The following is a 10,238-nucleotide window of genomic DNA, read 5'->3' as shown; positions in this document are numbered from 1 at the left end:
CTTGGCCAAGCGTGGGCAAAGCTGGCTCCTGCTTCTGTGTTTCTTTTGGCTTCAAGGAGGCTGGCAGGGTTTTCCAACGGAACTTTACTGACAACCCACAAAGCCCAAAGGGAAATAAACAAGGGAAATCTGAGGACTTATAAAGTGTTGAGCTTATAAAATAAATTTTCTTTTCTTTTTTTTTTTAAAAAAAGGGATGTTGTATTAGTTTCCTGTGGCTGCTGTAACAAATTACCACAAGCTCGGTGGCTTAAAACAACACCTCCTTATGACCTCACGGTTCTGGAGGCCAGAACTCTAAAATCCAGGTGTTGGCAGGGCTGGAGGGCAGGACTGGCAGGTGGGGAAAGGTGGTTTGTGAACTGTAACACTCTTTGACCTATATCATGCTGGCATACAGTACATTAATAAAACATTTAAAATGGCCAGGTGTGGTGACTCATGCCTGTAATCCCAGCACTTTGGGAGACTGAGGCAGCAGTGTGGACACTCAACTCAGTCACACTCCACAGTCAGAGGGTGCTGGGTCCACAACCTCGCGCTGCAGCTTCCTCCATGTGTGGCCTTGGGTGAGTCACTTTAGCAACCAGGTCAGCGTGCCCATCTCCATAGCGGGTGCCACTGCCCACCTTGCCAGGGAGTTGTAACATCACTCGAGACCACAGGAACATGGCCACTGTTTCTTGGCACTTACCACCTCCAGGCCCCCGGTGAAGCGCTCCTGCCAGGTCACCTCATTAAATCCCACGACAACCTTGTTGGAGGGCTGTTATTGTCCCCATTTTACAGCAGAGGCGCTGAGACTGAGACACCACAGCTGAGCCCACCCCTAGGTGTTCTGACTTAATGGTGTCCACCAGGGCCACCACCAGCCCTAGTTCTGCAAATTCTTCAGGTGACTGTGGTGAGCAGCAGGGTTGAGAACCTGGGCCCTGGCTTGAAACCATGAAGCACACCCTGTGCTCCCCCAGCCGGTCCATCCCTCCTCCCTTACTCTGTTCCCTCCTCCCTCGCTCTGTTCCCTCCCCCCTCGCTCTGGTCCCTCCCCCCTCGCTCTGGTCCCTCCCCCCTTGCTCTGTTCCCTCCCCCCTAGCTCTGTTCCCTCCTCCCTCGCTCTGGTCCCTCCTCCCTCGCTCTGGTCCCTCCTCTCTTACTCCCTTCCAGGCTCTGCCTTGGGTACCAGGGCTGAATTTTGCCATGTACAAGCCAGTGGTCTTGGGACCGTGTCTGTGTCTTGTTTACTCAGCCCACACATGGGCGTACTAGCTGGCCTGCCTCCCCTGCGAGGGTGTGTGGGGAAGGCAGGGAGTAGTCAGATCTGCCGTTCTCTGCCTGCCTCTGACTGAGGTAAGTTGGGGGCCCCCCTCGTCCCTGCTATCCCGGGAGTCTTTGTGGCTTCCCCATCTGTGTGCAGCCCCCTCACTCTCCTAAGATGTGCCTGCTGTCCCAGTGTGAGTGCCCAGCCTACCCTGCTCTGCTGGCCATGGCTGACTCCATGGTGGTTTGAGGGGCACCTTCCCAGATTGGGCCAGAGGATGTGAACTTGGGAGCTGGGGGTGGGGGGGGAGATGAGGGGCCATCGTGTGTGCTGGGAAGCAGGGAAAGCCATTCCCAGATGCAGGACGATGGAGAAACTCAAGAGGCCTATCCACCGCCGTGGACCCAAGAGAGATGAGAAAGAGGGCCGGTCAGTTCTCACCAGCCTGCGAGGCCACTCCCTGCCCTAGAGTTCCAAGTGAAAGTCCAATACGTTTCCTTTTCTCTGAAGCTCATTGCACTCACGATGAAGAGACTCGGTGAAGACAGAACCGCTCGAGGACTGACGGCAGGGCAGGGAGCAACCCGCCTGACAGAGATCTCAATGGCAGGAGAATGGTCGCCTACAACTTCCAAAGAATACTCCATAAAGCTGAGAGTAGGCCCATCCAAGCAGAGGCAAAGAAGCCACTCTCCTCCCAATCCAGGCACCATGTAGTAACAACTGGAACTCTAGCCACCCATCCCTGGGCTTTCCCCAAGGAGCCCAGGACGATGGCGTCCAGCAGGAAAGTTTCAGCCAAAGGCCCCGCTGCTAGTCGGTTTCTGGGCCGCCTAGGGAAGTTTCACCCAAAGCCCCCGTTGCTGGTCGGTTTCTGGGCCGCGTAGGGAAGTTTCAACCAAAGCCCCTGTTGCTGGTCGGTTTCTGGGCTGCCTTGGGAGTGTGGTTGGTTTCTGGGCCACCTTGAACTCCCTAGGGTAGAGTCTGAGAATCTAAATGTTGAATGTGCTTTGGGGCAGGATCTGGTTAAATGGCAGATCCTGATTCAGAAGGTCTCAGCAGGGCCTGAGGGTCCACCACCTGACAAGTCCCCCAGGAGAGGCTGCTGGTCTGAAGAGCACACCTGGAGAAGGTAAGGCTTAGCTGAGTCTGATGCTCAGTTAAAATTGGGAGCCCAGGCTGGGCGCGGTGGCTGAGGCCTGTAATCCCAGCACTTTGGGAGGCCGAGACAGGTGGATCACTTGAGGTCAGGAGTTTGAGACCAGCCTGACCAACATGGCAAAACCCCATCTCTATTGAAAACACAAAAATTAGCCGGGCATGGTGGGAGGCACCTGTAATCCCAGCTACTTGGGAGACTGAGGCAGGAGAATCACTTGAACCTAGGAGGTGGAGATTGCAGTGAGCCAAGATCGCTCCATTGCACTCCAGCCTTGGCGACAAGAGCGAAACTCCGTCTCAAAAACAAATAAATAAATAAAACAAAAAAACCTGAACCCAGGTCGGTCCAGCTGCCCCCTGGCTCCCTATTTTACAGAAGGAACATTCCACCCACTGTAAGGCCCAGAGAGCTGGGGATGCCGGCTGGGTTGATGGCTGTTCTCCCAGCGGAAGAAAGGAAGCTGGCAATGCAGAGAAGAAAGAGCAGGGACTCTGGAGACAACTGTGAGTTTCAGCCTCTCATTTGCTTAGTCAACTTGGATAAGACACAGAGCCCCTCAGAGCCTCAGTTTATGGAGCGTTGTTTGTGAAGATAGTGAGACTTGGGTAGATGGTGACTGTTTATAAGTGCTAGTTCTTGTTTATTAATTGCAAAAGGAAATGCTTGCAGCCCATACCTAGCTTGGTGCCCTGGCTGTGCCTTGGGAAGCTCTTACTGTGTTATGGGAGCTGTGAGTCACATGTGAGCAAAGAGGGGCAGCACCCGCTGGCAGGACCATGGCCACCGCCAGGCTTGCTGGGCAGGGTGGATGTCGGGGTGGGTGGTTTCCCCAACAAGCAGACCACAGGGCGTGACCCAGCAGCAAACCGCTCATGCCTCCTGATGACAGTGCACCTCTGCCTGCCGGGGAAGCTGGCCTGGCCCAGGAACACTGAGGACACCCAGGCTGTTAGTTCTCTTGCAAATTACTTAGTTACTCTGAGTGGCTAATGGACCTAACCCGTTTGTGACCTCTTTCTGGGTTAATTCTGATAACTCAGAAAAAGCAAGCATTTTTAAGAGAAGTTTTTTATGGTAGTTCTCCATTAAAGGAGACATTTGGCTTCTCTTAGAAAAAGCAAAAAACATCCCGAGTGGGTCCCCATGAGACTGGGTGGGACTTCTCAGTGCCCTGAAGGACCTCACAGGAAGGAGGAGGTTTGCTCCCAGGAAAACACACTGGCCTCAAGTGCACGCCTGCAGTGAGCTTGTGGGAGCCTCGGGATGCCCAGGCTGAGAGGAAGGGGTGAGGGCGTGGCCCACTTAACGCTTTCTCCTTCACAGAAACGGATTCTCGCTCAGGGACCAGTCTGTGTCTGGAGCTGGGTGGAGAGCCAGCCGCTGCCTTGGGGAGTCCACAAGTGGTGGCGGGAGCAGAGCTGGCAGCTAGGTCATGGGGTCACCTGGCTGGAACCTTCTCCTGACAGCATCCCCTCCCCTGAGCCAGGTCTGGACGGCATACAGGTGTGCAGGTGAGTCTCTGTGGGGAGTTGAGCACTAAGCTCCTCTCCTTTCTGCCGAGGGCTGGGGACAAAATCTCCTGCCAGGGTTCTCTGGTGCCCTGAGGGGACTTCAGACTTAATTCTAATACTTCTCTCTTACTCCCTGACTCACTGTAGTTATCCAGAAGGAGTAGTGAAACCCTGTTCCATCCCGAGTGTCTTTACCAGATCCTTAAGAGCAGAAATGGCGTCACTATGGTGACCAGCATTGACCCAACCCTTCTATATAGAGTTCAGAATGTGCGCTCTGTCCCACATCATTGCATTGGGCACTGCCACACAGAAGTGCTTGAAGGTCAGGGGCTGCCATATCAAGAGCTGTAGACCTTGGTTAAATAACCACCCTCCATACCTGATTCTGCTGGGCCAAGTGCCACCTGCATAAATACAAGATACCAGGCAAAGGTTTGGACATTCTCTGGGGAAGGTCTGCTTTGCACAGGTGCTCCTTTGCAGAAGTGTATCCTCCACTGGGTCTGTATATAGAGCGTAACTTGTTCATAGGACCATGGCCACCCATCCAACTGTCATCCACTTTTCCTTTCTTCTATCCATCTGTCCATTGAGCCATCCATTCATCCATCTATTCCTCTATCCATCCACACATCCATCCATCTACCTACCTACTCATCTTTTTATATATCCATCCATCCATCCACCCACCCATCCATCCATCCACCACCCACCCACCCTTCCTTCCATCCATTTAACCATCCATCCATCCATTCATCTATCCATCCATCCACCCCCCACCTTTCCTTCCTTCTATCCACTCATCCAATCCATCTACCCACCTACCCACCTTTTTACCCATCCACCCATCTACCACCTACCCATCCTTGCTTCCTTCCATCTAACCATCTATTCATTCATACTCATGGATCTTCCTTTCCTTTTCCTTCCTTCCCTCCCTCCCTTCCTTCCTCCTTCCGTTCCCTTCCCTTCCTTCTTTCCTTCGCCTCCTACATTCCTTCGTCTCCTACATTCCTTCCCTCCTTCATTCCTTGCTTCTACCCGTCCATTCAACCATCCATCCATCCTAGAACATCTGAATAGCATAACTCCAAGGAGTACTACAGTACAATGTAAATGGTACCCCCGATATTTTTCACCCTTCATTCATCCCTTCATTTATTATTATTATTTTTAGAAATGGCAATTATTTTATTTTATTTTTTTTGTGACGGAGTCTTGTTCTGTCGCCCAGGCTGGAGTGCAGCAGTGCCATCTCGGCTCACTGCAACCTCTGCCTCCCGGGTTCAAGAGATTCTCCTGCCTCAGCCTCCTGAGTAACTGGGATTACAGGCGCGACAGGTGTACACCGTCACACCCTGCTAATTTTTGTATTTTTAGTAGAGACGGGGTTTCACCATGTTGGTGAAGCTGGTCTCGAACTCCTGACCTCATGATCCGCCTGCCTCGGTCTCCCAAAGTGCTGGGATTACAGGTGTGAGCCACCATGCCCGGCTGAAATGGCAATCCTTATATCAAAGAGAAAATAAAAGGGAGGTAAAGTGGGAGGCAAAGATAGAACGAGCTGCATAAGTCTGGCAGAATGTTGGAACTGGAAGGAACCTCCCCGTCATCAAAGTCCAGTACTCCTCCATCTCCCGTGGCCAGGAAAAAGTCCTGAACACTCACGGGGAGTCAATGGTGTTGTCTCAAGGAGCCAAAGTTCTCATGGATGCCTATTTTATAAAGAGAAAGCTTATTTTGGGTTGGATTAAAAGGCTTTTCTTCTTTGATATTATTTTATTTTTTTATTTTTTCTTACATTGAAAAATCTTTGCTCTTAATTACATTAACAGAATTAGATGTTTTGCCCTATAATATACATTAGTTGAGGAATAATAACATCCACGTTATTACTGACAATATGTTTAGTGAAAATGGCTTAAGATTTTTTTGGCAACTCTTTTTGTCTTTAGGGCATGCCCCTCTTTGGGAACCTACAGTCACATTTCTGTGCCTTAAAGTCACTTGGGGATGGTCTCTGTGTGATTATGCCACCACCTGCATATGAACAGATTTGTTTCTTCCATTTGTCTTCTGGTTTATAGGGGCTGCTATAAAAAATTTTTAGTTTTGTTTTACAATTATCAAAAACATATATTACATATGACAATAGTGAATTTTACTTGAGCCCGGTGCTCCTGGAAAACAGTGAAGATTAAAGGAATTCCCCCTGCCAGGTGCAGTGGCTCAATCTGTAATCTCAGCACTTTGGGAGACCGAGGCAGGAGGATCCCTGGAGGCCAGGAGTTCAAGACCAGGCTGGGTAACATAATGAGATCCCAGTTCTGCAAAAAATTTAAAAAAGTTAGCCGGGTGTGGTTGCACATACCTGTAATCCCAGCTACTCTGGAGGCTGAAGTGGAAAGATTGCTTGAGCCCAGGAGTCAGAGGCTGCAGTGAGCTATGATTGCACCACTGCACTCCAGCCTGGGTGACAGAGTAAGACCCTGTCTCATAAAACAAAACAAAACAACAACAAAAAGCCAAAACGAGAGATTCTCCTCACATTTTTGTTTTCCAGGAAAACAACATGCTGCAAAAAACCACCTTTCCCCATATGACTTTGTATTAGTCTGTTCTCACATTGCTAATAAAGACATACCTGAGACTGGGTAATTTGTAAAGGAAAGAGGTTCAATAGACTCACAGTTCCACATAGCTGGGGAGGCCTCACAACCATGGTGGAAGGCAAGGAGGAGCAAAGGCACATCTTACATGGTGGCAGGCAAGAGAGAGTGTGTGCAGCAGAACTCCCCTTTATAAAACCAACAGATCTCATGAGACTTATTCACTATCACTAGAACAGCATGGGGAAGACCCGCCCCCATGATTCAATTACCTCCCACTGGGTCCCTCCCACAACATGTGGGAATTATGGGAATTACAATTCGAGATTTGGGTGGGGACACAGACAACCACATCAGACTTCCATAAGGCCGAGGGATGTCCCCCTTATTTATCTATGAAAGGCCAGACACAGACCCTCCAAATTCCCATTCTTTGCCTCATAAATGATTAGCTGAACGGCCTGTTCCCACTGATCCATGGAAACAAAATGCTTGCTAGCCAGACTTGGGTAAGTTTCACTCCTTCTTCCTGGACTCTGAACTTTGACCAACTCAGCCTGAGCCTGCAGGCAGCCCCTCCAGAGCAGAGGCTGCCTCAGGGTGACATTTTCTGATCTATTTATCTAATCACATCACCCTTTCATCCCACTTTCCACACCTGGCTCTTTCTAGCCTTGTTCTTTCTACAAAAGAGATCATCTTTTCGCCTAACCCTCAAGACCCTTGCAGATGGCATGGTCAAGCCTTCTGCGTTTTGCAGTGCTCTCCATCCCAGCCCCTGTTGCAGTAGCCCCTTTCCTCCCTTGCAAAAATCTTTCAAATAGTTCTCTCCCCACTGAGTCTGGATTTGTGTTTTATTTGACGTGTGCTTGCAAAGTCAAATCTACAAGACAAGGCACATTTCTGAGCAGACTGGCTTTTATATCTGTCTCTCACTCTCCTCCCCTGGTGGCTTCCCTCTCCCTGTAGGTAACTTTTTTCCTTTTTTTGGTTTATCTTTTCATTAAAAATATGACAGTAGGATTCTATGTCGTATCCTCTTTCCTTTTGTTTAAGAACAGTGGTAGCCAATTGTACCCACCTGCTTCCATTTGCAGGTAAGAGCCTCACTCTCTTCAGCCCTCTGTGACTCTGAAAAGCCATCGGCAGGAAGATCAGTGGCTGCTTTGCCCTAAGCGTCCTCAATGAGATGAAAGCGCTTTGTAAACCAGTGGGCCTCAAACTGGAGTGTGCACCCCAGTCACCTGGGGGTCCTGTTCATAGGTCCCACCCAGACTCCTAACTCAATAGGCTTGGCACGGGGAGCAGGAACCTGGATCTCTCAGAAGTTCACAGGGCTGCTGCTGCAGCCTGTAGTGGTGAGGGTGTCAGACTTTGAAAACTACTGGTATCAGTTCCCCTCAAGGGCAGGGCAAATGTTGGTGAGTATTAATAAAACTTCTGTACCATAGAATACAGGACCTGGTTTGACTATAGACCCAGCCTGCCATTCCGGTTTGGGGCTTTCTTTCTTTCTTTTTTTTTTTTTGGGACAGAGTCTCACTCTGTCACCCAGGCTGGAATGCAGTGGCACAATCTCAGCTCACTGCAATCTCCACCTCCAGGGTTCAAGGGATTCTCCTGCCTCAGCTTCCCAAGTAGCTGGGATTACAGGTGCATGTCACCACACCCAGCTAATTTTTATAGTTTTAGTAGAGTTGGGATTCCACTATGTTGGCCAGGCTTGTCCCAAACTCCTGACCTCAGGTGATCCACCCACCTAAGTCTCCCAAAGTGCTGGGATTAGGTGTGAGAAATGGTGCCCAGCCAGGTTTGGGGCTTTCTAAGGCCTCTCTGCTCAAAGTGTTGTCTGAGGACCAGTGGCTTCGCCCAGGAGCACTCAGAAGCACGGGCTGTGCCCTACCCCACACCCACTGAATCAGATTCTAGTTTATCAAGATTCCAAATGAGTCAGAACTCCTGAAGCATGAGAGGTGCTGACCCAAGCCTTCTGCGCCTTGTGGTTTACCTGCCAGTAGTTGATGCCCCTAGAGTGCAAACTCTAGATCTCACCCCATGGCCTGCTGAATGGGCTTTTCCTGCTCTCTCCCCCAAGATAGCCAAGCCAAGGCCCCATGACAACTGGCCCAGGCCTGGGCAATGTTTGGCTTGGCAAACTGCTGGGCAAAGTGGTACCAGGAGCCCTGCCATGCTGTGGCTCAAGGGTCTGTTCCCAGGGCCCCAGCTCTCCCTCCTCTTCACGGTCTCTGGATATGGCAGGTGGATCCTAACAGCTTTAAGGACTGCCTCCCACAGGGGTTGTGGCCTGGAGCTCTCTGGGGCCCAGGGATGCTGGCTTTGAGCCTTTCCTGAAAATGAGTTAGATGGAGGCTCTTTTGGTCCCCTCACCAAATCCACGGTTGTCTGGTGTGGACAGGACGGGCACAGGCCTGAAAGGTGTGGAGGAGGTAAGAGGTGGGTACTCCTCCTGCCCAGCCCAGCCCATCTGCCTGGGAAGGGGCCAAAGCTGCTGGGCAGGGCAGTGTAAATGGTGAGGGGGGCCGGAGCTGTGGGGCTGGAGTTTCTCCCACTGATACCCTACCTGTCCCAGGAGAGACGGCAGCTTCTGTCTGCCTGGAGGCTGGCTCGGACAGTGGAGTTTCTGGAGTGGTGAAAGCCCCAGAGACAGAGCTGGGCCCTGCGGGGAGGTCCTCCCCATCCCTGTTCTGAGATCAGAGCATTTCCTGCCCCACCCCTGCATCTTCTGCCCTTGAGGGCTACCCGCCTGGTCGGCAAATCCTCGGCCATGAGTACCCCCATTCTTCCATCCTGGGAGAGCCCCTTCCTCATCCCACCCTCATTGCCAGCCGGCCCCTCTTTCTCTCTGTCCAATTCCACAGGGTCCCCCAGTAAGCAGATTCTTCCCCAGGCTCCAGGCCTGGCTGGAGTGTGGCTCCAGGCAGGGCTGGGTGTGAATGGGTGTGAGGTCAAGGCCAGGCCCCTGCTCAAAGCCAAGGCCTCTGTGCTGGGTGGCCCATGAGTTCCCACTGAATCCTCCAGCAGCCACATCACTGAGGTGTGATCTCATTTACAGATGAAGACACCGAGGCTCAGAGTGGCCTGTTTAAGGTCATATATCATCAATAGGGTGTTGGCTGAGTCCCAGCCCTGCTCATTCTATTTATTTATTTATTTTTAAAATTTATTTTTACCTTTATTTTTAAAACAAACATCTCAGAGTAAGCCCTGCTCATTCTAACAGCTAAGGCAAGCAGGTCGAGGGAGACAGAAGAGGTCTTGGGTCCCAGATCGGGAATCCCAGTTCTGAGGTGCAAGGGCCGCTGTGCCTCACTGGCTACCCCACGTTCCAGCATGTGCCTGGCATGGCGAAGCCTGGACAGCCAGAAAGGCTCCCTCTGCAGAGCCCGCCTCTTCTGTATAAGACCGGGCAGGTGGGACCTGCAAATGCGCCGTTTGGTGTCATGGTGCTGGCACTGGCTCGAGCCCTTGTCACCCAGCTCCTCCTTGGTGCCAAGTGGCCAGAGCACTTCTAGAACCATCTGCTGGGTTTGAGATCAGAAGCCGGCGGCCTGGTAAGAATTCAGGTTTTCTTGGGCCCCGCCCACTGGAGCTGGGCCATCTGTGGGCAGTTCAGGGGGTGGTCAGTGTGGGGGCCGGGTTTGGGTGGGTTCCACTGTCAACCTTAGGAAAGGGTT

The 10,238-nt window shown here is 51.4% G+C and overlaps 2 annotated features.

The window, feature by feature from the left end:
- Window positions 3,794-4,294: an enhancer, noted in NCBI's record as "H3K4me1 hESC enhancer chr10:121225296-121225796 (GRCh37/hg19 assembly coordinates)". NCBI's record gives its function as "activates a minimal SCP1, AML or CMV promoter by ChIP-STARR-seq in primed H9 embryonic stem cells {active_cell/tissue: H9 hESC(primed)}" and the evidence as "EXISTENCE:reporter gene assay evidence [ECO:0000049][PMID:30033119]".
- Window positions 7,617-7,866: an enhancer, noted in NCBI's record as "active region_4119". NCBI's record gives its function as "activates an Ori minimal core promoter by ATAC-STARR-seq in GM12878 lymphoblastoid cells {active_cell/tissue: GM12878}" and the evidence as "EXISTENCE:reporter gene assay evidence [ECO:0000049][PMID:35858748]".

This window comes from Homo sapiens, chromosome 10 (assembly GCF_000001405.40).
Source record: "Homo sapiens chromosome 10, GRCh38.p14 Primary Assembly".
NCBI classification, from domain to species: domain Eukaryota; kingdom Metazoa; phylum Chordata; class Mammalia; order Primates; family Hominidae; genus Homo; species Homo sapiens.
Note: the sequence above shows the minus strand (reverse complement) of the source record. Positions and strands in the feature narration are given on the sequence as shown.